General features: G+C 42.8%; 3 protein-coding genes, 1 non-coding gene and 1 pseudogene across 23 annotated transcripts in view, besides 4 other annotated features; 2 read left to right on the plus strand and 3 right to left on the minus strand.

The window, feature by feature from the left end:
- Positions 1-1,646, minus strand: part of RSRP1 (arginine and serine rich protein 1) — a 96,006-nt gene extending 94,360 nt beyond the window's left edge. For 7 of the 8 annotated variants that reach the window (NR_135787.2, NR_135789.2, NR_135792.1 and 4 more), the window contains exon 1: positions 432-1,646. The gene's annotated coding sequence lies outside the window, so the exon portion shown is untranslated. The remainder of the gene's footprint in view (positions 1-431) is intronic. The other variant, NR_135788.2, reaches the window with a different exon arrangement.
- Positions 1-1,746: part of a meiotic recombination region, noted in NCBI's record as "downstream Rhesus box that can recombine with the homologous upstream Rhesus box", that runs on past the window's edge. NCBI's record gives the evidence for it as "EXISTENCE:nucleotide sequencing assay evidence [ECO:0000219][PMID:10845894, PMID:15752150]".
- Positions 270-564: a silencer, noted in NCBI's record as "tiled region #4019; K562 Repressive DNase matched - State 1:Tss". NCBI's record gives its function as "represses a minimal TATA promoter and a strong SV40 promoter by Sharpr-MPRA in K562 cells {active_cell/tissue: K562}" and the evidence as "EXISTENCE:reporter gene assay evidence [ECO:0000049][PMID:27701403]".
- Positions 1,556-1,675: a silencer, noted in NCBI's record as "silent region_453". NCBI's record gives its function as "represses an Ori minimal core promoter by ATAC-STARR-seq in GM12878 lymphoblastoid cells {active_cell/tissue: GM12878}" and the evidence as "EXISTENCE:reporter gene assay evidence [ECO:0000049][PMID:35858748]".
- TMEM50A (transmembrane protein 50A) lies at positions 1,726-25,753 on the plus strand. 4 transcript variants are annotated; one of them, XM_011541159.3, is made up of 7 exons: positions 1,726-2,209; positions 3,866-3,971; positions 6,353-6,465; positions 15,018-15,085; positions 16,274-16,366; positions 20,185-20,245; positions 24,052-25,753. In XM_011541159.3, the coding sequence occupies exons 2-7, from the start codon at positions 3,879-3,881 to the stop codon at positions 24,095-24,097; spliced, it is 474 nt and encodes a 157-aa protein (XP_011539461.1). In that variant the 5' UTR covers positions 1,726-2,209; positions 3,866-3,878; the 3' UTR covers positions 24,098-25,753. The 4 variants fall into 4 exon arrangements, with proteins under 4 accessions (XP_011539461.1, NP_055128.1, XP_047272588.1 ...); NM_014313.4 differs by having other exon boundaries at positions 1,726-1,848; XM_047416632.1 differs by lacking the exon at positions 16,274-16,366.
- LOC124904723 (uncharacterized) lies at positions 4,363-4,426 on the plus strand (annotated as a pseudogene).
- Positions 7,276-7,476: a silencer, noted in NCBI's record as "peak126 fragment used in MPRA reporter construct". NCBI's record gives its function as "represses an SCP1 promoter by STARR-seq MPRAs in K562 erythroleukemia cells {active_cell/tissue: K562}" and the evidence as "EXISTENCE:reporter gene assay evidence [ECO:0000049][PMID:32103011]".
- LOC124904823 (small nucleolar RNA U13) lies at positions 9,666-9,769 on the minus strand. Its single transcript, XR_007067419.1, has one exon. It is a non-coding gene; the product is annotated as a small nucleolar RNA U13 (small nucleolar RNA).
- RHCE (Rh blood group CcEe antigens) overlaps positions 25,641-27,850 on the minus strand; it is a 67,955-nt gene continuing 65,745 nt past the window's right edge. For all 10 annotated transcript variants that reach the window (XM_011541889.4, XM_047427028.1, NM_138616.5 and 7 more), the window contains 1 exon segment: positions 25,641-25,945. In XM_011541889.4, coding sequence (XP_011540191.2) covers positions 25,919-25,945 — 27 coding nt within the window. In that variant the 3' untranslated portion in view covers positions 25,641-25,918.

Genomic DNA, 27,850 nt, shown 5'->3' on the forward strand with positions numbered 1-27,850 from the left:
GTAGGGGCAAAAAACGCAAAGAGAAAGGAGTTAGTATCTTTTCTCCCGCACTCATTAGCTATTAAAAGAGGATGTTTGTTTAAAGCTGCTCAGAGCTGGTAAACTAATGTTAAGTCACTAACGGGAATTTAAAAGGTTTCATTAAGAACTGCCTGCACTAGATTCCTCCACCCTGAGACATTAAACAATCACGATAAACCTCCTGAGTGGTAAGAACGTGTCCATTTAAAAACAGGCTATAGATTGTCATGCAGTTTTATCTACTAATCGGCTAATGCACCGCCAAAAACAAACAAAAAAACCCAAAGGGATGAAAGTTTCATCCATCAAAGGAAACAACAGTCACCTTGGTTCCCATCCCACTCATATACTGCCGCCGTACATGTCAATCAGATGAACCTGTGCGTATCTCTTAACGACAATTGACCCACCTTTTTAACTGAAGTGAAGGGGGGTTCTGCTCCGCGACCACTTCCTGGATCTCTCCCTTCACCCTCTGTGTTCTTTCGGGTGCACCATCGGGTCAAAGCCGCAGCAACGCCGTCTCTGTGTGATCGCATGTGCCCTTCTGCACACGACCTTCCCCCGAGAGTGACCAGCTACCGGACAGGCACCAAGGAGGGCTACCGAGCACCTCCCGGACCGGCGGCTGCAGGATCGCGAGCGCCTCCGCTAGGGAGACCGCACGTTGCGCCTGTGCTTCCTGCGGTGGCGCCTTCTGCAAGGAGACCTCGACCCTGCTCCCTCTCCGGGGCTGGATCTGACTCCTTGACGGTGATTCCAGACGCGAGACCCAAACTGACGGCTTCTAGAAGAGGGGCGAGCCCGGCCGCAAGTCTTTCACGTAGCTAAGTCATCGTTGCTTCCGGCTTCTTACCGTTCTCCCCTTTGTAAACGGTTACCTCCCGAAAACCCAGGCTCTCCTCCAACAGTGGTTCTCAAGCGAGGCGATCTTCCCCGGGAGGGGATATTTGGCAAAGTCTGGGGGCATTTTTGGTTCACTGGGGCTGCTACTTGCATCCACTGGGTAGAGGCGGGGGATGCAGCTACACAACCTGCGAAGCACGGGACAGCACCCTCCCCAACCCAGACAGAATTAGCCGGCCCAAAACCTCAGTAGTGCCCAGGCTGAGAAACCCTGCCTTAAACAAACAACAAAGAAAGGCCAAGTCCCATAAGTGGGTCACCGCGCCGAGACTGGGGTCCACGGGACACCCCAGCCACGCCAAGCCGGGAAGTCCCCGCCTCCTGGAGCTGAACCCGCCCCTCTCCCAGAGGTGGAGCTGCGGGGGGCGGGAACAGGCACGGAGAAAATAAACAAGACTAAAAAGTCCTGAGTAGCGCTGTGTGGCCGCAAACCTGAACCCACCTTTTGCACCACGCGGGACCCGGCACTCTTCCTGCCACCCACCCCTGAGAGGGCTGCGCGGCCGACCCCAGTACTAGAAAACACTCGTCACCTCACTCAAGACGGGTACGAAGGCCAACGGACGCCTTCCTTTAGAACGCTCAGCACACAGAGCAACTTCTCACGCCTACTCTCAAATGGCGTACTCCAAACTAGCACTCCCGACGTCCAGCTGTGAACCCAGAGCGGCGGAAAGCCCCTGAACCCAGCGCCCGGGCATGCGCAGACGCGTTGTTGTGGTGGGCGTGGCTCCCTCCGGACCCGGCGCCCCGCCCTCCGCCCCGTGTCCGCATGCGCGACTGAGCCGGGTGGATGGTACTGCTGCATCCGGGTGTCTGGAGGCTGTGGCCGTTTTGTTTTCTTGGCTAAAATCGGGGGAGTGAGGCGGGCCGGCGCGGCGCGACACCGGGCTCCGGAACCACTGCACGACGGGGCTGGACGTAAGTGTCGGGCGGGGAGTGGGGGTAAGAGAGTAGCGGCCGCAGGCTGGAGAGGCCTCGGAGCCGGGGCCGTCTGACGGGCTGGTGCCCACAGCACAGGCTCGTTGCCGCCACCCTCCCGGAAGCCGCAGACCCGGGCTGAGCCGCCGCGGACCTCTCCTCTCCTGGGTCCGGCGGCGCCAGGAGAAGGCGACGGCGTCCAGACCCCGCCAAGACGGAGAGGGGACCGCGCCCTCCCCCGGGACACCCCAGGATCCCTGGAAAATCCCCCGATCCCCCACTTCACAGCTGGACAAGCCGAAGCCCCGAGAAAGGAGCGTGACCCGGCCAGCTCCCTCAGCGAGGGGTGCCCCGGCTAAAGGTGGCTCCCCCATCTTCCAGCGGCGTCCCTCGAGACCTAAAAGTCCCAGAGTTTGGAGGGCGGGGTCTGGCTTGAGCGTACCAGTCGTCGTGCAAAGAAAAATGGATTCGGGGTGGGGCCATTGGGATGAACCGAAAATAACACTTATTGAATTGCAGTTCTTCCCGGGGAAGAATCAAATGAGTGAATTTCCTAAATTGAACTTGTCCCAAAGGCATCTTAGCATTGGCTGTAATCATATATTTTAATATTTAATTTTTAAAAGAGAAGTTAAAAATGGGAGACGTTGCTCTATTGTAGGGTGTCATATTTTTGGACAACCATAATTGCTGGCTACAAAGTATCTTAAGGAAGTCAAGTTCGCTGTAGGAGTTTGGGTGTTGTTATTCGCAAGTTATATGTATTTCAGGCTTTTTCATACTCTGAAATAGAGATAACATGGCTGTATCTCAGGTCTCTACTGCTCGGCTTACAGGAATGTTTTATATAATTTGTAAAGACAGCTTGGGTCGGCTATATTTAAATAGCAGTTGGATTTTTGTAATCTGAATTACTATTAACCACGATTCTGTGCTTGCTTTTGGCTGGAAACACCCGTTAGGATCAGAGATAGGGATATTAAAGTGGATGTTCTTTATATAGAAATGACACCAAAAGGCAGGCTTGCAGAAAGAAAAATAATGAATGAAGTGAAAGGAAATGATGTGGGTAGAGGTAAGAACTGCAGTGCAGTGTTTAATTTCTTGATTTAGGTGTGAAGAAACACACGTTCTGTGATAAAATATGTAAATTAGAGAAATATTTTTCATTTGAATCTGTAATTCCACTCAGAGCCAAAGTTTATCACTTGTCTCTCTACTAATGTTAGTGCTCCTGGACTGTAAATATCAAATTCATTTAATAAGTTTGGAATCAAAATGATACAAAAGAGCTCCTGTGGATTAGTAATCATATACTTGGTATTAAAAGTACCACCTAAACTAATTTAATACCTACTTAGAAATAATAGGATGTGACAGATTTTCAGGAGGAGGTCAACCAGTAGTTAAAATTTTTTCAATATTTGGAGACCCACCTTTGTTAATACTGCTTAAATATATCCAAACCATTTATTTCTATTTATTTATTATTATTTTTGAGACAGAGTCTTGCTCTGTCGCCCAGGCTGGAGTGCAGTGGCACGATCTCGGCTCACTGCAACTTTCGACTCCCAGGTTCAAGCGATTCTCCTGCCTCAGCCTCCCAAGTAGCTGCGATTACAGACATGCGCCACCACCCCCGGCTAATTTTTGTATTTTTAGTAGAGATGGGGTTTGCCATGTTGGCCAGGCTGGTCTCAAACTCCTGACCTCAGGTGACCCACCCACCTCAGCCTCCCAAATTGGTAGGATTACGGGCATGAACCACCACGCCCGGCCCCCAAACCATTTTTTACATTAAAAAAGATACTAAATGAATCCAGATATTACTTTCCAAAGTTATAATGTGGAAATTCATCAAAAACTAAATCAAATATTCTGAAGAAGTATGTGGAACCAAAATAAAGCATTTGTAATTTCACTTTTATCTAATTATTCCTGAGCTATTAATTATTTTTCGGGCTTGAAGCAAGTAAATGGAAGTACTTATTTAATTGTTTGTTTGTTTGTTTTTAAGTGACCTGAAAAAAATGTCTGGATTTCTAGAGGGCTTGAGATGCTCAGAATGCATTGACTGGGGGGAAAAGCGCAATACTATTGCTTCCATTGCTGCTGGTGTACTAGTAAGTGTCATTGATTATTTGGGCCTTATTTTTTGGTGCGTTTGTGTTTATGGGTTTTGAATTCTGCAGGATGTTTTAAAATATGTACTATTTATTTTATCTTTGACCACTTTGACCATGTTGATATTTTGTTGTTTGTGGAGAGTTATTAGTTCCACTTTAAGAGTTTATGGTTTAAAATTTGATTAACAAGTGGTTGGGTTGTTTTAACTGCATGGTAAAAATGGCATAATAAAACATTTGTTCATTATATGGATTATATCTCCTTTTAATGAGTATATTAAGGTACAAGGAAGTGTTTAAGACGCAGTCAGGTCAAAACCAGTCAATAGATGTGATTGCATTTCTCCATAATCCAGTTAACTTTCTTCTCAGTCTCAGGGAAAAAAAAGTGCTCGCTTTGGCAACACATACACTAAGATTGGAATAATACAGAGAAGATTAGCATGGCCCCTTAAAATTTTTTTTTAAAAAGCAAAAACAAAAAGGAAACTCATTAAAATACATTGTGTGGAAGTAATTTACAGAATAAAATTCTTATTTACACTTCAGATCCCTCAAGGGATCTGCTATTAGTTTTTTATGATCATATGGTGTCGTAGGCTCTAAAGAGTAATTTTTTATTTTTATTTTTTGAGATAGAGTTTTGCTCTTGTTTTTTTGTTGTTGTTGTTTTTGTTTTTTTTGGTTTTTTTTGAGACGGAGTCTCAGTCTGTCGCCCAGGCTGGCGTGCAGTGGCGCAATCTCAGCTCACTGCAAGCTCCGCTTCCCGGGGTTCACGCCATTCTCCTGCTTCAGCCTCCCGAGTAGCTGGGACTACAGGCGCCCGCCACTGCGCCCGGCTAATTTTTTTGTATTTTAGTAGAGACGGGGTTTCGCCGTGGTCTCGATCTCCTGACCTCGTGATCCGCCTGCCTCGGCCTTGCAAAGTGCTGGAATTACAGGTGTGAGCCACCGCGCCTGGCCTTGCTCTTGTTTTAGTAGAGACGGGGTTTCTCCATGTTGGTCAAGCTGGTCTTGAACTCCCGACCTCAGATGATCTGTCTGCCTCGGCCTCCCAAAGTGTTGGGATTACAGGCATGAGCCACCGCACCAAGCCATTTTTTCTTAAGCTTTAAGATTTATTTATTTTCGAGACAGGGTCTCACTCTGTCTCCCAGGCTGGAGTACAGTGGTGAAATCACTGCTCATTGCAACCTCGACCTCCCGGGCTCAGGTGATCCTCCCACCTCAGCCTCCGGAGTAGCCTGGACCACGGATGAAGGCCACCACACCGGGCTAATTTTTGTTTTTTTTTTTGTTTGTTTTTTTTGTAGAGATGAGGTCTCTCCATGTTGCCCAGGCTGGTCTCCTACTCCTGGGCTCAAGTGATTCACTGGCCTTGGCCTCCCAAGGTCCTGAGATTACAGGCTATTGCACCTGGCCAAAAAGCTTTGAGTTTTTAGTCTATGAAGAAAATATCTTAAATACATTGAGCTGAGGGTAAAAAGAAAGGCATATGTACTCATGCTAGCCATTAAAAATGTTATTAATCGAGTATGGATCTGTCTGTAACCTGATAAAAGTAATTTGACTAGCCTAAAATTGTTACTTTAAAATAATTGCCAGAAGATGTCAGTTGCCAGAGCTAACTGAGTCAGGGTTTGGTGTGGGGATAGGAAAGGAAAGGGGGTTACTTTTAAAATCTTCTAGGCTACTTGTCAGAATTTGGTTAATATAATTTTATTGTAAATATCTGCTCAGATGATAAAAACTGTTTTTGAAGTTTTGGCGTTATTTTGTTATACCTTTGCCCTTGATAATATCTAGAGCCAAATTCAATTAGATAAATTGTAATCTGGTGTTTAAATTAAATTTAAAATCACACCTGAAACCATATTTAGACTGCACTGGAATTCATCAAAAGCAGAACCTCAGAGCTGTTATTTCACACCAAGAAGATAGCTAAAATTCTGTGAACAATAGTTGTTCTCCATATTAATTTGAATGCTTTTTTCTTGATTTTGGGGAATATTTCTCTGGAAGTTTATCATATATCAACAGGACACTTCTGTCAGTTGGAATTGGAGTCACTTTTTTCCTTTCCCCCTCCATGAGATAACTGGTTTCTAGTTCACCAAATTAGATTACAAGGCTTTATTATGATAAAAATTAAATAATGATTGAAGTAGGCTTAGAGAAAAGTTATGTTAATAAATATAAATTGCTCTCAGATTTAAGGGTACCTAATCAGTTATTAGGCCATGTGCAAATTACATGTGGGAAAAAGCTAGAACATTTTTGAAATGTATTAAAAGGGATCTCCTCACTTAAATACCTTGCTTTTAGCCAGTGAGATACAGAATTGCTATGATTTCTCATTGGTATCACCTTTGTTTTAGTTTTTTACAGGCTGGTGGATTATCATAGATGCAGCTGTTATTTATCCCACCATGAAAGATTTCAACCACTCATACCATGCCTGTGGTGTTATAGCAACCATAGCCTTCCTAATGTAAGTGTCATCGTAATTGGCATTACTTACATAGCTTGCCACAAAATAAAAATGTTTCAAATATAGTTGCATAGATTTAAAATTCTAAATATTATCAGATTAACACACTGGACATGATTTAAAAGTCACACAGTAGAGATGGACTTATACAGAAAAGCAGCAGTCCTCTTTATTCTTTTTGTGTACCTCTCCACTCCCTCCCAGCTTCTCTCAGCTATTCTTTTATTTTATACCCCCAGGGTTTATAGCTTTATATTTAAGTCCGAAACTGTGTATTTTGTCTAAGGGATAATTCTTTCAACAATATTTATTAAGCTTTTATATTCCAGACTCTGCTCTAGGTACAGGACATATAGTAGTTAGTAAAACAGGAAAAATCCATGTCTTTTTGTCATTTAAAATAAGTGCAAAGGAGAAAAAATAGAGAAAGGAGATATGTGCAAATAAGTGCAAAGGAGAAAGGGATGTCAATAGGAGGGATAGAAATTAAAAAATTTTTTTTTTTATAGAGAGGGTGTCTCATTATGTTGCTCAGGTTGGTCTCCTGGGCTCAAGTGATCCTCCCACCTCGACCTCCCAAAGTGCCAGGATTACAGGTGTGAGCCACCACACGTGGCCAGAAATTTTCAGCAGAGTCAGAGAAGGTCTCACTAAGAAGGTGACTTTGAGTAAAGACTTGAAGAAAGTGAAGGAGCTGACCAGGGGATGGGGATATATAAGAGAGGTTCATTCCAGGCAGGTGAAACAGCAAGTACAAAGGCTTTACGGCAAGGAGACCAGTATAACTGCAGTAGCAAGATCAAGGGAAAGAGAAATTGATGAGGTCAAAGAAGTGGTGGAGAGGGACAGATGGTATAGGGCCTTGAGAAGCATTATAAGAACTTTACTTTCAGCTGGATGCAGTGACTCATGCCTGTAATTCCAGCACTTTGGGATACCGAGGTGGGTGGATCACTTGAGCTCAGGAATTTGAGACCAGCCTGGGCAACATGGTGAAACCTCATCTCTACCAAAATACAAAAATTGGTAGGGCATGCCTGTGGTCCCAGCTGCTCCGGAGGCTGAGGCGGGAGGATTGCCAGAGCCTGGGAAGTCAAGTCGATGTTACAGTGAGTCATGATTGTGCCACTGCACTTCAGTCTGGGTAACAGAGCAAGACCCCATCACAAAAATAAGAACTTTACTTTCATTGTAAGTGTAATGGAAGCCATTGGAAGGTTTCGAGCAGAGGAATGAAATGACCTTATATTTTAATAGGAGCATTCCTGTTGAAAAATTTTTAAAACCGGTAAACAAAATTTATTGCAGTGCCAAATAGTATAAGCACCATGACTCTGTGCTTCTCAAATTTATCAATGTATTTTGAAAATATTCTTGTATTCTTACCAGTTTCTCAAATTCATAAAATCGTTTAGTTTGCTTCATACTTGGGCTGTGACTTTGTTATTTAGTATTGTTTTTTCCTATAGTTTTTTTTTTCTTCTTTAATTAAGACGAGGTCTCACCTTGTTTGCCAGGCTGGTCTTGAACTCCTGGGCTCAAGCGATCCACCTGCCTTGGCCTCTCAAAGTGCTAGGATTATAGGTGTGAGCCACTGTGCCCGACCTTTCCTAGAGTTTCTGATTGTTTTTTTTTGTTTTTTGTTTTTTGTTTTTTTTTGGTGGTTGTTGGTAGAAAGAATGTATATTTTCTTTAGGATTCATTTTATTCTTCTTGAATGCTGCAGTTCTAATTTGGACAGTTACTATGTGGAATGTAGTAGCCTTGTTCAGTTTTTTGTTTTTCCTAGAGTTTCTAGCTGCCTTTTCTTTGTTTTCTTGCATTTTCTACTATTATCACATCTTTATTTTTTTCCCAAATTCTCAATTATATTCTTTAATGTATTATAACTTCTTTTGTTTTAGAAATCAACATCCCAGAAGCCCGTATCTGTCTGTTTCATTATGAATTAATGACTGTGTAAGCCTGCTGCAGCACTGTCACCATGGGACTTCCCTCCCCTGTTGATCAGGGTTGAATCCACTGTTTTTCCAGTTACCACATCTTCTTTTTTTTTTTTTTTTTTTTGGATACAAGAAGTATTTACTTTGGCCGGGCATGGTGGCTCACGCCTGTAATCCCAACACTTTGGGAGGCCAAGGCGGGCAGACCACCTGAGGTGAGGAATTTGAGACCAGCCTGGCCAACGTGGTGAAACCCCATCTCTACTAAAAATAATTTAAAAAGGCTGGGCGCAATGGCTCACGCCTGTAATCCCAGCACTTTGGGAGGCCGAGGCAGGCAGATCACGAAGTCAGGAGATCGAGACCATCCTGGCTAACACAGTGAAACCCTGTCTCTACTAAAAATACAAAACATTAGCCGGCTATAGTGGCACGTGACTGTGGTCCCAGCTACTCGGGAGGCTGAGGCAGGAGAATCGCTTGAACCCAGGAGGCGGAGGTTGCAGTGAGCAGAGATCATGCCACTACACTCCAGCCTGGGCGACAGAGTGAGACTCTGTCTCAAAAACTAAAAAATAAATTAGCCAGGCACGGTGTTGCGTGCCTGTAGTCCCAGCTACTCGGGAGCCTGAGGCACAAGAATCACTTGAACCTGGGCAGCAGAGGTTGCTGTGAGCCGAGATCACACCACTGCACTCCAGCCTGGGCGACAGAGGGAGACTCCGTCTCAATAAATTTAAAAGAAAAAAGTATTTATTTTAGTTTGTTTATTTATTTATTTTTTTTTTTGAGATGGAGTTTTGCTCTGTCGCCCAGGCTGGAGTGCAATGGCATGATCTCTGCTCACTGCAACCTCCACCTCCCAGGCTCAATTGATTCTCCTGCATCAGCCTCCCCAAGTAGCTGGGATTACAGGCACACACCACCATGCCTGGCTGGTGTTTGTATTTTCTGTAGAGACGGGTTTCACCATGTTGGCCAGGCTGGTCTTGAACTCCTGACCTCAAGTGATCCACCTGTCTCGGCCTCCCAAAGTGCTGGGATTACAGGCGTGAGCCACCACACCCGGCCGATATGTTTTCTTAGAATTCTCATCTCTTTATCTTTTTATTTTATGTTCCAATCTGTTAAACATTTTTGCATTTCAGTTCTCATGTTTTAATTTCTAAGGGCCTTTGTTTCCTTAATTATGAATGCTTCCTTTAGGGATCAACTCTCTCTGTGGGCCTTTCTTTTTTTTCTTTTCTTTTCTTTTCATGTTAGACGTGTAAGGTGCTGATGTAAGAACAAGGTTTGAGGGAGGCACATCTCAAACATGCACATGAACACCCAATCATCGTGCCTAAGAACTACAAAAGAATCAGGTTTTCCTTTTAAATTAAAAAAAAAATGTTTTAGAAGTAGGGCCTCGCTTGTCACCCAGGCTGGAGTGCAAATGGTGTGATCATAACACACTACTGTCTCAAAATCCTGGGCTTAAGCAGTCCTCTGGCCTCAGCCTCCCCAGTAGCTAGGACTACTTGCACATACCACCACACCCAGCTATTTTTTAAACAGTTTTTTTGTAAAGACAGGATCTCACTATGTTGCCCAGGCTGTTCTTGAACTCCTGGTCTCAAGTGATTCTCCTGCCTTGGCCTCCGAGAGTGCTGCATGATAGGTGTGAGTCACTGTGCTCTCTGCCTTTATTATTTTAAAAATGTAATATAAAATGCATTCTGGCCAGGCATGGTGGCTCACACTTGTAATCCCAGCACTTTGGGAGGCCAAAGTGGGCGGATCACTTGAGGTCAGGAGTTCAAGACCAGCCTGGCCAACATGGTGAAACCCTGTCTCTACAAAAAAATACAAAAATCAGCCGGGCATGGTGGTGCATGCCTGTGGTCCCAGCTACTGAGGAGGCTGAGGTGGGGAATCACTTGAATCTGAGAGGCAGAGATTACAGTGAGCCAAGATCACGGCACTGGATTCCAGCCCAGGAGACAGAGTGAGACTCTGTCTCAAAACAAACAAACAAACAAAAAACGCATTTAGTGAGATACATAAAGTGCACAAGTCATATATACATCTCAACAAATTTTTCTTATATATACACCCATGTAAACAGCATCTAGATCAAGATTTAAAACATCACCCCAGAACATTCTCAATCAGCACTTCCATCACACCTGTATAGCCCCCATCCTGACCTCTACCATTGTCCATCAGCTTTCTGTAGACCTTTTTTTTTTTCTTTTGAGATAGGCTCTTGCTCTGTTGCCCAGGCTGGAGTGCAGTGGCATGATCTCGGTTCACTGCAACCTCTGCCTCCTGAATTCAAGCAATTTTCCTGCCTCAGCCTCCTGAGTAACTGGGATTACAGACGCCCACCACTGTGCCCAGCTAATTTTTGTATTTTTAGTAGAGGAAGGGTTTCACCATGTTGGCCAGGCTGGTCTCGAACTCCTGACCTCTCAGGTGATCCACCTGCCTTGGCCTCCCAAAGTGCTGGGATGACAAGCGTGAGCCACCATGCCCGGCCTTCTGTAGACTTTTAATTTAGGTTGTAGAGTCATCTCATACAGGCTTCCAGGTAATCCAAGTTGAAAATTACACACATTTTTAAATTTTGCTACAGTTACTTAAGTGTAAACACAGTAACTTGTATTTTCAGAGTAAAGCAAGTGGCTAAGGGCAGCCAGTTTGACTGTGCCTGGCATGGAGTCAGTGCCAGAGTAGTTATTCATTCGCAGAAGTAAAGGTCTGACTTCAGAAGCCACTGATAGCAAAGGGCTGTGGTCTTTTTCTTTGAAGTTCAGCCAGTATGCAGCTATTTCTAGTTCTTTCCATCTTGTTGCAATTTATTTTACCGTAATAATGATGCTGTTAGAATTCTTTTAGAAAGCTGACACCTAAATTTCAACATTGGTTTAGATTTAAAAGTTTTATTTTTGTGATTGTATTTTTGTCCTGCTTTTGTTCTCAGATCTTTAAAAAATTATTTTGTTCCATTTTGAAGCAGTAGCAAGTCTGACTATGGAGGGGAATTATAGCTGTATATGAGCTTGAATGTACTATTCAAACGTGTTTCCTGCTAAACTTACATTCTGTTGCATTAACATAATTATAGCAGAGCTGACTTCATGTCTTTATAAATGTTTATCATCTATTTGGCTTCAGTTTACATCTTTTTATTATAGTGTCAGATAGTGTCAGGCCATAATTTTAAACAAAAACTGTTAGTTAATTATAATTCAAATGGATAGGAGTCAAAAAGCAGCTATTCTTTCATTAATGACTTTATTATTTTTTCTCTTATTACAAAAGTTCTCTGATTTTGTGGCTTTAAAAATATTAATAAATGTTCTGTGTATTACTCTGTATTTTTTAATTTTAAAAATGTAGGGTAGGCCGGGCACGGTGGCTCACGCCTGTAATCCCAGCACTTTGGGAGGCCGAGGTGGAAGGATCTCGAGGTCAGGAGATCGAGACCATCCTGGCCAACATGATGAAGCCCCGTCTCTACTAAAATACAAAAAATTAGCTGGGTGTGGTGACACGCGCCTGTGGTCCTAGCTACTCAGGAGGCTGAGGCAGGGGAATCGCTTGAACCCGGGAGGTGGAGGTTGCAGTGAGCTGAGATTGTGCCACTGCACTCCAGCCTGGCGATAGAGCAAGACTCCATCTCAAAAAAAAAAAAAAGTAGGATATGCCAATAAGCAAAAACGAAGTTGCCTATAATCTCACCAAACTATAACATTTTGACAGATATTCTACCAGTGTTCTCTTCTGTTTTCTCTTTCTCTAACACACATCTATATGTTTTAAAAGTAATATTTAACTCTTCTCCACTTCCTTTCCTCTTCCTGGAAAAATTCAGTCCAAAAACTATTAGGTGAGGTCAAGCATGAGAGGCATCCTCTATAGAAAGACAAGTTGTGGTGGCCCAGAGCAGGCTGCTGGGCTCAGGCAGGGTGGGAAGGGGCAGCTCAGCATGGGCTCAGATCCTGAGCAGGGTGAGGAGGGGATCCATGCAGCGGAGCGTGGGATGGAAGAAGGCAGCCCTACATGGGATGCTGGAGTCTGAGCAGGGTGAAGAGGCTGTCCAGATGGGGCAGGAGAAGCAGTGTGGCAGCTCTGTCCGCTAAGAGTGCCCAGAACAGCTACACCCCAACACCAGGAGCACACCTATAGCCCCCAGTTATGGAGCATCATGTTGACAAATACCAGACGTTTCAGTAAAAAGATTATTTAACTAGTAACTTTTCTATAAATTGGAGAACATACATAAAAATAATCATAGCAGAGAACAAATAGAGATTGTTCATTCCAAAGTGTCCCTAATAGTGAAGACAGGATTGTGGTGGCTCACAGAGGGCTCTGAAGTTTATTCAGATGGCTCAGCAAGGAAAACGAGCTGAGAACCAGTAACCCAAGAACATTTATTTGTGTTTTACTTTTATATATGAAACCTGTTTTTAATGTATCTATTTTATATACAAAATAATTTAGTACTGTACAGAGATCACTGAAAATAATTGAGTATTTTGATCATTCTGAAACTTAGATTTGTATGAATAAATTAAGACATCATATTACTGTGAAAAAAACTAGGATTCCTATATTCACTTTTTTTTTTCATAGATACAAGGTCTTACTATGTTGCCCAGGCTGGTCTCAAAGTCCCGGGCTTAAGCAATCCTCCTACCTTGGCCTTCCAAAGTGCTGAGATTACTGGCACAAGCTACCAGGCCTGACCTAAACACATTTATTGAGCACCTACTATGTGCGAAGCCCCTAGCCTTGTGCTAGGCATTGAGAATGAAAATGAGAAACAAGACAGACAATGGCTCCTGTCCTCATGAAGCTTATATTCTAGTGTTAGACACACACAACTAAATGGGTATATATATCATAGGTATAATGTTTTGTAACTTTAACTTGATGTATTGTGAACGTTTTCCCATGACATTTGGAATGTTTCAAAGGATACTTCTAAAGAAAGCAAGCCTATCTCAATTTAGAGTGGTATGCTATGAAGAGTTAGTAAAACACCTTATGTTTAGAGCCTGTATCAAGGATTTAAAAAACAAGATTTTACCACTTGAATCTCTATTCGATAATATCTTCAGAGCAAAAAGTTATTGTATTGTTTGAAATATAATTATTTCTCCAAACATTTGATATCAGTACAAAATTACTACAAAAAAATTTATTCCAAAGCCAATTTTAAGAAATATTTGGATTATCCAGGGCCCATTTTCTCCCTCTGCCATTGCCATACATGAGTACATGTTATGTCTGATACATACAAATGGAATATCAGATAGAACCAAGCAAAATTATCTTTTTACCTGTTCCAATCTTAGCAAAAGAAAATTTTGAGAATTTTGTTCCCGATTTTTTTTTTAAGAGACGGAGTTTCACTCTTGTCGCCCAGGCTGAATCGCAGTGGCACGATCTGAGCTCACCACAACCTGTTTCCCGGGTTCAAGCAATTCTCCTGCCTCAGCCTCCCAAGTAGCTAGGATTACAGGCATGTGCCACCATGCCCAGCTAATTTTGTATTTTTAGTAGAGACGGGGTTTCTCTGTGTTGGTCAGGCTGGTCTTGAACTCCTCACCTCAGGTGATCCGCCCACCTTGGCCTCCCAAAGTGCTGGGATTATAGGCATGAACCACCACGCCCAGCCTCGTTCCCAAATTTTAACAATCGAGACTCACCTGAAAGACTTGTTAAAACTCAGATTTCTGGGCCCCATGCCCAGAGTGTCTGCTTTGCTAGGTTTGGGTTAGGGCCAAGAGAATTTTCTTGTCAAATAGGTTGCCAAGTAATGCTGATTCCGCTAGCCTGGGGCCCATGACCACTGCTCTAGAGAGTATCTGGCTGGGCGCAGTGGCTCACACCTGTAATCCCAGCACTTTGGGAGGCCGAGGCGGGCGGATCACAAGGTCAGGAGTTCGAGACCATCCTGGCTAACACGGTGAAACCCCATCTCTACTAAAAATACAAAAAAAATTAGCCGGGCATAGGTGGTGCATGCCTGTAGTCCCAACTACTCGGGAGGCTGAGGCAGGAGAATGGCGTAAAACCTGGGAGGCAGAGGTTGCAGTGAGCCGAGATCGTGCCACTACACTATAGCCTGGGAGACAGAGCGAGACTCCGTCTCAAAAAAAAAAAAAAAAAAGGAGTATCTGGTTGAAGAGACCAGTCATATGAACTCTTTACTCAAGAACTGAAGGCTTATGAGCCAGGTGTAGTGGCACTTTGGGAGGTCAAGGCAAGGAGGATCTCTTGAGGCCAGGAGTTTGAGACCAGCCTGAGCAACATAGCAAGACTTTGTCTCTACAAAAATTTTTAAAAATTAGCTGGGTGTGGTGGTGCACACCTGTAATCCCAGCTACTCAGGAGGCTGAAGTGGGAGGATCACTTGAGCCTGGGATTTCAAGGCTGCAGTAAGCCATGGTTGTGCCACTGCATTCTAGCTTGAGCAACAGAGTGAGACCCTGTATCTTTAAAAAAAAAAAAAAGACTTTCAGGCCTAACCTTACATTTGAGAAACTGTAGATTATTGTTTCTGGTAATTGGTGTCATGGACCCTGATTTCTTGGTTTTATTTTATTCATACAGGATTAATGCAGTATCGAATGGACAAGTCCGAGGTGATAGTTACAGTGAAGGTTGTCTGGGTCAAACAGGTAAATAGGTGCAAACAGCATCTTATTATACATGCTTAAATCCTTAAGATGAGTATTTCACATGGAAATACCACTTTTCTATTTGTTTTAATATATCTGTGAGTAACAGCTTATTATTTTGAATCTATTGTTTTATGTTTTGGGCTTGAAATTGGGAATTAATATATAACATTCTATTTGCCGTGCTTTATTGAGTGTAGGCAGTGTTTTTATTAAAATGTATTTATGCAAATTAAAGAGGCCCTATCAGAATTCATTTTAGGCAGTCATGACTCCATTTATTTATAGCAAATCTTCATAAACATGTTAATGTGATTTGAAAGTTGCCTGTCCTCCTCTGTTAACATAATTTTAATGCAACCTTCCTAAGTTCTAGTCACAGTAAATTTGAATTTATTTTGCTGCCTAACTTCCCTGAAAGTGAAATATGGTAGCTTGGAGATTCGTATGTCACTGAATATGAATTTTTTACTGTATGTCTGTGTTACTGTTTGAAAGTACTCTTGGAAGATCTGGGAGCGGCCGGGCACAGTGGCTCACGGCTGTAATCCCAGCACTTTGAGAGGCCAAGGCAGGCAGATCACAAGGTCAGGAGATCGAGATCATCCTGGCTAACACAGTGAAACCCCGTCTCTACTAAAAATACAAAAAATCAGCTGGGCGTGGTGGCGGGTGCCTGTAGTCCCAGCTACTCTGGAGGCTGAGGCAGGGGAATGGCATGAACCTGGGCGGGTGGAGCTTGCAGTGAGCCGAGATTGCGCCACTGCACTCCAGCCTAGGAGACAGAGCAAGACTCTGCCTCAAAAAAAAAAAAAAAAAAAATGTGGGATCATTGTCTATATAAAAGCATAAGGAGAATGAGCCTCTAAATATGGTGAAACAGATTTTATGAGATGTTTTATAGGAAGGTTGAGTATAGGTTTTCTCAGTGTAGGCAGTTGGGGAAAGTAAGTATATGCACTTATACAGACTCATAAATAATTTTTAAAAATCTATACAGACCAACCAAGAAGAAAAAGGCCAACAGGTACACTGATGAAGATGTTTAACACATCCTTTACTGTTCTCACGTTAGACTTTAATGGCAGTTGCACTTTTTTTTTTTCTGTTTGGGTTTTATTTTCTTTTTGAAAGTTAATTGTACTGCCCTATAAGAAAGAATTCTGGTAAAATATTATTTCTTTGAAGGTGCTCGCATTTGGCTTTTCGTTGGTTTCATGTTGGCCTTTGGATCTCTGATTGCATCTATGTGGATTCTTTTTGGAGGTTATGTTGCTAAAGGTAAGAGAAAACATAGGTTACAATTTACTTCAGTGGAATACTGGAATTTTGCATTAAAGTTGGTTATTTTAGAATAAAATTTTTTTCCTATAGTTGGGCCAACTACTAGCGATGCATTTATATCCGGGACCCCCCACCCTCCACCGACAGTGTTTGGTTTTCTTTGTCTTATATATTTTTAGTATTCCTTTCTTCAGTCATTTTTCTTCTTATCCAGAGCCTGGAAGGGATGAGACAGCTCTAAACACTGCTTTTCTTTGGCTTCCAAAAATCTCAAAAGCAGAACATATGTTATCTAGCTAGTTAGCAAGCTTTGTTTCTTTTTTAGAGACAAGAGTCTCACTATCACCCAGGCTGGAGTGCAATGGCATGATCATGGCCCACTGCAGCCTCAACCTCCTGGGCTCAAGCCATCCTCACACCTCAGCTTCCCAGGTAGCTAGGGCCACAAGCACACACAACCACACCCAGCTAATTTTTAAATTTTTTATAGAGATGGATCTTGCTATGTTGCTAAGGCTGGCCTTGAACTCCTGGCCTCAAGCCTGGCCTAACAAGTTCTGACTTTCAGAATATCTGTGCAAAGCTCTAACATCCCAGAATTGAGATTTATTCAGTTAAGCCTCCCTGGTAATATGATGTCACCTCCTTTCAGACAGAAAAGTAAACTAACATTTAATATACATCTGCTATATAAGGCCACTTTAAGGCAAGCTCAGGAAAAGGTATACTGTTAGACCCTGGGAGAAATTTCACCTTGAGGGACCCTAGAAAAACAGAAAACCCATTTAATGGTCCAGGTAAAATTGCTATGGGTGTCATAGTAAAAATACAGTATTAATGATTTATAAAAACTGGACCAGGTTATATATATTCTGCTCATATTTTAACACTTATTTGAATAAAATGTAACTTGTAGATTAAAATAATGTTTCCTAAATTTTTATTAAAATCATTTAATCTCATAGATGGGAGTAATAGATATTTCCAAATATTTGTATTTTTAATTTTATTTTAATTATTTTTTTTATTTTTTGAGACAGGGTCTGCTCTGTCACCCAGGCTGGAATGCAGTGGCACAATCTCAGCTTACTGCAACCTCCACCTCCCAGGCTCAAGCAATCCTCCCACTCAGCCTCCTGAGTAGCTGAGATGACGGGCGCATGCCACCACGCCCTGCTAGTTTTGTATTTTTTGTAGAGATGGGGCTTCACCATGTTGCCCAGGCTGGTCTCAAACTCCTGGGCTCAAGTGATCTGCCTGCCTCAGCTTCCCAAAGTGCTGGGATTACAGGTGTGAACCACTAGGCCTAGCCATGTGTAATTTATTATTAAAATCATGTTACCAAAATTGTAGAAAATAAAAAAGGGTGGGTGCAGTGTAATCCCAGCACTTCAGGAGGCCAAGGAGGGAGTACTGCATGAGGCCAGGATTTTGAGACCAGCTTGGACAACATAGGGAGACACCATCTCTACAAATAATAAATATTTAGCCGACTATGGTGACGTGCATGTGTGGTCCCAGCTACTCGGGAGACTGACGTGAGAGGATCACCTGAGCCCGGGAGGCAGAGATTGCAGTGAGCTGTGATTGTGCCACTGTACTCCAGCCTGGGTGACAAAGTGAGACGCTGTCTCAAAAAAAGAGAAAAGAAAAGAAAAAAAGAAAAAGAAGTAATAATAATTTCACCACTCTTCAATATTTTGGTTTATTTCCTTTTTTCTTATGTTTTTAGTTATTATCATAATTTTTATCCCCCGTTTGCATTTCACATGATATTATAAGTTAGTTGTTCTTTTGCTGCTATAAAATCTGTTTTTTATATGTATATTTGTTGCCCAGGCTGGAGTGCAGTGATGCGATCTCAGCTCACTGCAACCTCCGTCTCCCAGGTTCAAGCAATTCTTCTGCCTCAGCCTCCCAAGTAGCTGGGATTACAGGCGCCTGCCGCCATGTCCAGCTAATTTTTGTATTTTTAGTAGAGACAGGGTTCTGCCATGTTGGCCAGGCTGGTCTTGAACTCCTGACTTCAGGTGATCCACCTGCCTTGGCTTCCCAAAGTGCTGGGATTACAGGAGTGAGCCACCACGCCCAGCCATCTATATATTTTAAAATGTATATATTTTGAGTTTGAGACCAGTCTGGCTAACATGGCAAAACCCCATCTCTACTAGAAATACAAAAATTAGCCAGGCATGGTGGCACACACCTCCAATCCCAGCTACTTGGGAGGCTGAGGCACGAGATCTCTTGAACCTGGGAGGTGGAGGTTGCAGTGAGCTGCGATCACGCCACTGCACTGCAGCCTGGGTAACAGTGGGAGACCCTCTCAAAAATCAAAACAAAAAAAAAGGAAAAAAATTACCTTGTTATCATGGGAATTGCATAATGCTTATTCATTATAGAAAACTAAGAATATAAAAGAACTCAAAAGAAGAAAATGAAATTACTGATAATTCTTTCCCAGATACAACTATTAATACAGGGTCCCTTTTTATAGGAATGTCTTTATCTCATAATTTTAGGCTATTTTCCTGAAAGCTTCTGGAGCAAGGTTATGTTTTGAGAATTATTAGCAGCAGATCTGTAATTTTATAAAGTTGGCTTTATAACATTTTTAGAAGCCATTCTAGTGGTAATGGTTATTTAACGTGAAATAGTGGTGAAGACCTATGCAAACCATCTGTTATGTTAATCAGATTAACCAAAGCTGTTCTGAAATGAGAAAAATTTGACAGTTCACCTATTTATTGTGCCTCTGTCAATGAGCAGTCATTAACAATTCCAGTAGTAGAAATTTATGAGAATTTCAACTTCACTTCTAGATACAATCAGAAAAAAATGTTGCTCCAGCAGTCCTTCCAATCTTAGTTAATGGCTGGCTACTCTATCTTTCCAGGTGTTTAGGCCAAAAGCCCTAGATGGTGAAGGCCTGTCAAAGATGACATTTGTCTTCCTCCCACGCCCCATATCCAATCTATCTGCAGATCATGTTGACTGTGCTGTAAAATATATCCTGAGTCTAACCACCATTTACCATCTCTCCATTGCTACCACCCTGGTTCAATCCATCATAATCTCTCACCTGATTTCCTGGAAGAGCCTCCTAACTGGTTTCTGTTTCCTCTCTTGCCTCCTTTAATCTACCCTCAGCACAGCAGCCAGAGGGATCCTCTTAAAATATGTCATCTCAGATCACTTTTCTGCTCACAACCCAGTGGCTTCTCGTCTCACTCAGAGTAAAAATCAGAGTCCTCACTGTGACTGCCAGGTCTCTGCTGCCCAGTTGCCCTCTTTCTTTACCCTGTCCCTGCTCTTCCCTCTTGTGCCTACGTGGCTGTTCCTGTAATTCACTGGCGTGCTCCCTCAGGGCGTGTGCATGGCTTCTTCCCCACTTCCTGCGTGTCCTTACTCCAGTGTCACCTTCTCATGGGGTCTTCCTGGCCATCTGTGTCCAATGTCACACTACACTTCTCCACCTTTCCTGCATTATTTTATCTTCTTTTTATTCAGTATATTCTCTAGTTCCATGAGGGCAAAAAAAATTTTACCTGTTTTGTTTATTGCAGTATCCTCAGTATTAAATAGGGCCAGCATACAGTATGCCCCCAGTAAATATTTGTTAAGTGAACTAAGGGAGCTATCATTTACTAAAGCCATGCTAGACTCTGTTACACATTATGTCTTTTAATACTCAAGCCAACCCTAATTCTAAGAAAAATCAATTCTTCTAGGCAGGAAAACTGGTATTTGCCAATATATCTGAAACTAAATGTTTTGAGATCATAACCCTCTAAACACTGCAATTATTTTTACAGAAAAAGACATAGTATACCCTGGAATTGCTGTATTTTTCCAGAATGCCTTCATCTTTTTTGGGTAAGTTTGTTTTGCATTCTTTATGTTTGTTTGTTTTTTTTTAAAATAGCTTCTTTTATATCATTTTCTATATTTAGTTGCCTAATTACTCATCCAATGCCCCTCCCCCATGATATTTTCATAAAACATGGAGAGTAAGGTTGAGAAGGATATTTTAAATAGATGAGTTGGTTTGCTGCCAACCTTAGGAGCATATATTAATTTTTAAGATTGCTACCACGCCCCCTTTTAATGAGTGAGTAACTATGATTCATGAAAATTTAGTTACATAACACTGGTGATGTTCATTTTAAACTTAGATCTCTAACAGTTGCTTTAAGTGAAAGCCTGCCTAAAACCATTTATCCTTAAATTTTGGTTTCTGATATATTTTATAATTCTTCTGTCCTTGATATCGTAGAGTTTGTGAGTGAGATTTGAGGTGTGGAGGAAAAGCCCAAACATTTTTTTATCCTTCCCTTTCAATTACAAATGAAAAGATGACGAAAACCTCTAAAAACCTCAAGGCTTTTATCAGTAATCTTCTCTGATGTTCATCTTTCCTAGAAATTTAGGGCCTGCCCTTTTCTCTACCCATGCTGTTCCTCCAACCAGCCCCCACAACCTACCCCCATCACTGGCCGAAAAACCCCACAAACAAAACAGCTCAACAGCTCTTAATCCTCTGCATCAGGAGTGTGTGTGTGTGTGTGTGTGTGTGTGTGTGTGTTGTGTGTGTGTGTGTTGTTTTGAGACAGAGTCTCAGTCTCTCACCCAGTGTGTGTGTGTGTGTGTGTGTGTGTGTGTGTGTGTGTGTTGTTTTGAGACAGAGTCTCAGTCTCTCACCCAGGCTGGAGTGCAGTGGCACGATCTCAGCTCACTGCAACCTCCGCCTCCCGGGTTCAAGTGATTCTCCTGCCTCAGCCTCCCGTGTAGCTGGGACTACAGGCACACGCCACCACGCCTGGCTATTTTTTTTGTATTTTTAGTAGAGACGGGGTTTCACCATGTTGTCCAGGATGGTCTTGATTCCTGATCTCGTGATCTGCCTGCCTCAGCCTCCCAAAGTGCTGGGATTACAGGCATGAGCCACCACACCCAGCCTGCATCAGGAGTTCTTTTTTTTTTTTTTTTAGAGGGAGTCTCACTCTGTCGCCCAGGCTGGAATGCAGTGGCGTGATCTTGGCTCCCTGCAAACTCTGCCTCCCAGGTTCAAGTGATTCTCCTGCCTCAGCCTCCCGAGTAGCTGGGATTACAGGCACCTGCCAGCACGCCCAGCTAATTTTTTGTATTTTTAGTAGAGACAGGGTTTCACCATGTTAGCCAGGATGGTCTTGATCTCCTGACCTCGTGACCCACCCGCCTCGGCCTCCCAAAGTGCTGGGATTACGGGCATGAGCCACCGTGCCTGGCCAAGAGTTCTTAACCTTTATTCTTTCAGTAGTCTTCTGAAGGTGAGGTATCACCAGACATTTCCATATGCAGGAAATTGGTGTTTTGTGTATTTCTGGAAAGAGATAGTCTGTGGCTTTCATCAGATTTTCAAAGAAGCCCCTAATCCAAAAAAGGCTAGGAATCTGATGTATATTACAGGACCTTTCCTTCCCCTTCCCTTCCCACCCACCTCCAAAAAAGAAACAAAAATCCCATGTTTACTGAAGCCCTCTTGAAATAGTAATAGTTGCCCTTCAGAAAGAGCCACCAGTTGGTATTCACACCTATTCTATTCCATCACCAGGCATTTTTGCCATTTTGTAAAATCAGTTTGGAAATAAAAATGTAAACTTAGATGTGACAAGATGCACAGCCTCTTTGGGTTATACCTTGTATCCTGTAAGCAGATTGAACCCCAGGTAATTTTGACAGTGTAGGAGGGACTGGTCCCTGGCTCTTGCCCAGGAAACTCTTCCGATTAGAGTTCATATCTTGTGACGAGTATTCTGAAGTTACAGCATCTCTTTTAAGCTATTTGGACAGTAGAGGCCTCTAATAACCAACTTCAGTTTTTCTTTGTTACAGCAGTAGATCCTATATTAACTAGAAGAGCAGAGATCTGGGATTACAGGCGCATGCCACCATGCCTGACTAATTTTTGTATTTTTTGTAGAGACGGGGTTTTGCCATGTTGCCCAGGCTGGTCTCAAACTCCTGGGCTCAAGCGATCTGCCCGCCTTGGCCTCCCAAAGTGCTGGGATTACAGGCATGAGCCACTGTGTCTGGCTCATAGCCCCCATTTCATTTGGTGCCTGGGACTGCGCACCAGCTGCCCCATAGAGCATGCAGGCAGGCATCCCCATAGAGCATGCAGGCAGGCAGCCCCATAGAGCATGCAGGCAGGCGTCTGCACTCTGGCTCATCTAAGGCACCTGTGGGTAATTTGCCACCCTTGGCAATTGGCTTTCCAAAGCCTGGCTGTGTCCATTCCCTGCCTCCTCATGGCCAACCATAATCTGGCCATGGTGGATTCTTCCTTGTTCTGTTAACACCTCAGGTATCATTTTATGCATACAGTTGCGCTCTTGCCTCTTTTAAATTGAAGCCTTAAGGACAACTGTAGACGTTCCCTCACCGAAACCCTAGACCAGGGGTGTCCAATTTTTTGGCTTCCCTGGGCCATATTGGAAGAATTGTCTTGAGGCACTCATAGAATACACCAACAATAGCTGATGAGCTTTAAAAAAAAAAAAAATCACAAAATAAATCTCATAATGTTTTAAGAAAGTTTACGAATTTGTGTTGGGCCTCATTCAAAGCTGTCCTGGGCCACATGTGGCCCATGCTTTGTGGGTTGGACAAGCTTGCCCTGGACTGTAAGCTCTGTGAGGGCAAATTCCTGTCATACTAGTCTCCTGGGCTTTTCCAGAAGCCCCATGCTTTTTTATGCCTCTTTCCCCTTTGATGTACTGTTTCCTGTCCCCGAAACACCTGCCTTCATCATCCCGCTAGGTCTTGTTCCTACCAATCTCCCATTCAAACCCCTGTTTTTCCACAAAAGCCCATCTCACATATTACCACCTCTGTAAATCCTTTTCTAACTTATTCAGGGTGACCGAATTCTGTGTTTCTGTGCCCCCTTAATACTTGTTATATAAGTCTCCTTCCCCAACCACCCCCACACTTACCACATCACGTTAGCAAGAATGAGAGCAATTTGAGGGCAGTGGCTTTGTATCTTATTTATAGCCCTGGCACCAAAACAGTTTGTTGAATGAATTTGATAAAATCAGACGTATAGGGCTGGGCACAGTGGCTCACGCCTGTAATCCCAGCACTTTGGGAGGCCGAGGTAGGCGGATCACGAGGTCAGGAGATCGAGACCATCTTGGCTACCATGGTGAAACCCCATCTCTACTAAAAATACAAAAAATTAGCCGGGTATGGTGGCGGGTGCCTGTAGTCCCAGCTACTCAGGAGGCAGAGGCAGGAGAATGGCATGAACCCGGGAGGCAGAGCTTGCAGTGAGCCGAGATCACGCCACTGCACTCCAGCCTGGGCGACAGAGCAAGACTCTGTCTCAAAAAAAAAAAAAAAAATCAGACATATAATGGTTACATAGTAAACACTGGTAACTTTTTAAAAGTCACATGTGTATTCAGTACTTGAAAGTTAAGGTTGTTGGGAATATGGTGGTTAATAGCACAGTTGAACATAATGGAAGAATTCACTACCTTAGAATGATCAGTTTCTGTTTTGATACATTTCGTACCAAAATTTCTTCTACAACTCATCAATTATTCTTCGTTGTTTGTTTCACACCATTCTCGAAATCTCACATACTCTTTTCTCAAATTCAGGGAGTCATGTGATATTTCTTGTTTTATTCACAGAGGGCTGGTTTTTAAGTTTGGCCGCACTGAAGACTTATGGCAGTGAACACATCTGATTTCCCACAGCACAACAGCCCTGCATGGGTTTGTTTGTTTTTTTACTGCTCACTCCCAACCTTTTGTAATGCCATTTTCTAAACTTATTTCTGAGTGTAGTCTCAGCTTAAAGTTGTGTAATACTAAAATCACGAGAACACCTAAACAACAACCAAAAATCTATTGTGGTATGCACTTGATTAACTTATAAAATGTTAGAGGAAACTTTCACATGAATAATTTTTGTCAAATTTTATCATGGTATAATTTGTAAAAATAAAAAGAAATTACAAAAGAAATTATGGATTTGTCAATGTAAGTATTTGTCATATCTGAGGTCCAAAACCACAATGAAAGTGCTCTGAAGATTTAATGTGTTTATTCAAATGTGGTCTCTTCTGTGTCAAATGTTAAATGAAATATAAACATTTTTTAGTTTTTAAAATATTCCGTGGTCAAAATTCTTCCTCACTATAATTGGTATTTACTTTTACCAAAAATTCTGTGAACATGTAATGTAACTGGCTTTTGAGGGTCTCCCAAGGGGTGAGTGGACGTGTTGGAAGAGAGAAGCACCATGGTCCAGCCACCAGGCTCCCTGTGTCCCTTCCATGGGAAGGTCTTCCGCTGTGCCTCTCATTCCAAGGGCAGGAAGATGTGACTCAGCCATGACACGTGGTTCTGGTGGGATGCACAGTCACTCCACATCCACCATTGAAGGAAAGGAAAAAAGGGCAGAGACTTGACACTCCAGTCTTAGACAGGGGACAATTTCTTTGTAGTTGTTCTGATAATAAACTGGGTTCCATGTTGCATTTCATCTGTGTACTGAACCACTAGCCTAATAGACCAGCACGGTCAACTAGAATGACAAACATTAGCTACTGGGAACTCTTGTTGTCTCTTCCTCTTCAGAACTCTTGTCCCCCCAGGCTCCCCACCTCTGCAAGATGGGATACACTCTTCAGGACCACAGTTTGAAATGTCTTTCATAAAATGTGCTACAATTAGCCTTCGGAATATTTGCTGGGTGATTTAAATGTGTGGGTCTCATTTCCATGCTAGCCATGGTCATCTGACAGTCTCTACACTGTGAATATTGCCTGGTGATCAAGACTCTCCTCAAAGAAATGACTTGCTGTCATCCCACATGAACTCCTGATGTTTTTTCTACAAAAGTCCATAAAATGTGAAAACTGGAGAAGATCTTAGAGGTTGAAGCCCACCTTCTCTTTTCACATAGGAGGGAACAGACCATGGAAATTTAAACGACTTCCTCACGGTCACAGAACTAGTTTTTTAATCCTCAGGCAGTGCATCCCCCCACCCTACAACTGAGCACAACCTCTTTCCCCACAGTGCAATTCAGAATATGCTCAGGGAATGCCAGCCACCTTGTAAAACTGCTGGGAGAAAAGCATGATTCCCACAAGGACTAAGTATCAGTGATTTGTAATTTTCCTGTTTTGTATTATCTGCTTTGCTGATGTAGACAAGAGTTAACTGAGTAGCATGCTTTATTAAGCATGAGAAAGAATCTTAAGAATTGTCAATAAAATTAACCCAAAACTTTAATAATGTGTCTGTAACCAAGAAAATATTGATAGCATCATCCTAATGAAACTAAACATTTATTTTAAACTTATTAAATTGACTCTTAAACTAAGTTTTTAGTCTTTAATTTTTTAATATCAAATCTGTCTCTGACCTTGTTTCATTATACATAAGGAGACTTTGCTGTCATGAGCGTTTCTCACGTACAAATGCAGGCAACAGTGAGAGGAAGTTGTCTTGTTTTTGAACAGGCCTTGTTTTTCTTGGATGCTTTTGCTTAAAATCCAACAGCCAAATGAGGAAACTGTAAAAGCAAAACAAACATTTTTATTGCAGATGAACCCACATACTGATTTTGGCTTGATCTCTTGAAACAGCCTAAATGTCTCATTACAAAGACCTTAGAAATTCTTTCATAAAATCTGAATTGGAAGAGATCTTGGATATATAGGTTTTATTTCATCTAACGTTTTACATGGATTGTTGATAAATGGCCATCTGGCTTTTATTTGAATGCCTCCAAAGACAGAGGACTCACTACTGCCATATGAAGTAGCTCATTCCATTTGGCAGACAGTTGAGATTGTTAGAAATTTATACTGCACCTCCCCTGGGCCTAGTTAAATTCTTTGGAGAAGTGTAGAGAAAAAGTATTTTTCTTCTACATGCCAGTTTTTTTTTTGGTTTTGTTTGGTTGGTTGTTTGTTTTGTTTGAGATGGAGTTTCGCTCTTGTCTCAGGCTGGAGTGCAGTGATGCAATCTCAGCTCACTGCAACCTCTGCCTCCCGGGTTCAAGCAATTCTGCCTCAACCACCGGAGTAGCTGGGATTACAGGCACCCGCCACCATGCCCAGCTAATGTTTGTATTTTTTAGTAGAGACGGGGTTTCACCTTGTTGGTCAGGCTGGTATCAAACTCCCAAACTCAGGTGATCCACCCGCCTCGACCTCCAAAACTGCTGGGATTACAGGCGTGAGTCACTGCGCCCGGCCTACATGCCGGTCTTTCAAGTGTTCGAAGAGCCTTCTTAGGTCTCCTCTGGCCTTCTCTTCTGCAAGCTGTGCATGCGCTGAGTTCTGAAGTGGTGCCACACCACAGCCTACCATACAACGTCACTGCATGTGGCATAAACTGGGACCACAGAACTCTGAAACCGGAAATCAGGGTAGCTAACACTTGTTTGCTAACATTTCACATACATTATCTCCTTTAAACCCTAACAACACAGTGAGACAGTTACTGTTATCTCCATGTCAGATGACGAGACTGAAGCTACAAGATCACAGAGCTGGCAGTGGTAGAACCCAGATCTGTCTGACTCCAGAGCACAAACTCTTAGAACATGGGATTTGATCTCATTTTATAGAGGAAGAAACTGAGCCCCAGAGAAGCGACCTGCCCAAGGGCACCAGCCTGCCAGTGGGTGAACTAGGACTAGAATTCAGATCTGCCTCCCAGAACACTGGCCCTCACCGAGGCTAGGGGAGTCTGTTGGCAGGCTGCTGATGTGTTTTCCTAGTTTACTTTTTTTTTTCTTTTTTTTAATATATATATTTTTTGAGACAGAGTCTCCTCACTCTGTTGCCCAGGCTGGAGTGTAGTGGCAAGATCTCAGCTCACTGCAACCTCCCCCCAGGGGTTCAAGTAATTCTGCCTCAGCTTCCCAAGTAGCTGGGATTACAGGTATGCACCACCACACCCAGCTAATGTTTTTGTATGATTTGGTTTTGTTTTGTTTTATTTTGAGATGGAGTCTCCCTCTGTCCCCCAGGCTGGAGTGCAGTGGCACGATCTCGGCTCACTGCAACCACTGCCTCCCCAGTTCAAGCCATTTTCCTGCCTCAGCCTCCTGAATAGCTGGGACTACTGGTGTGCACCACCACGCCTGGCTAATGTTTGTGTTTTTAGTAGAGACAGGGTTTCACCATGTTGGCCAAGCTGTTCTTGAACTCCTGACCTCAAGTGATCTGCCCACCTCAGCCTCCCAAAGTGTTGGGATTACAGGTGTGAGCCACGGCGCCCGGCCTGTTTTCCTACTTTAAAAGCTGGCTCTCCTTGTGTTGTTGAACAAGCGTTTGTTGGGCCCTTACTGTGTCTCTAGAACATTTATTTGAAATCAGAAGTAGGGGTGATACCACTGTGACAAGAGTAGATTTTTAAAACTTCGCGTAAAACAGCAAGAGGGACTCAACACATTTTGTTATGTTTT

The sequence above is a fragment of the Homo sapiens genome, chromosome 1 (genome assembly GCF_000001405.40).
Source record: "Homo sapiens chromosome 1, GRCh38.p14 Primary Assembly".
Lineage (NCBI taxonomy): Eukaryota > Metazoa > Chordata > Mammalia > Primates > Hominidae > Homo > Homo sapiens.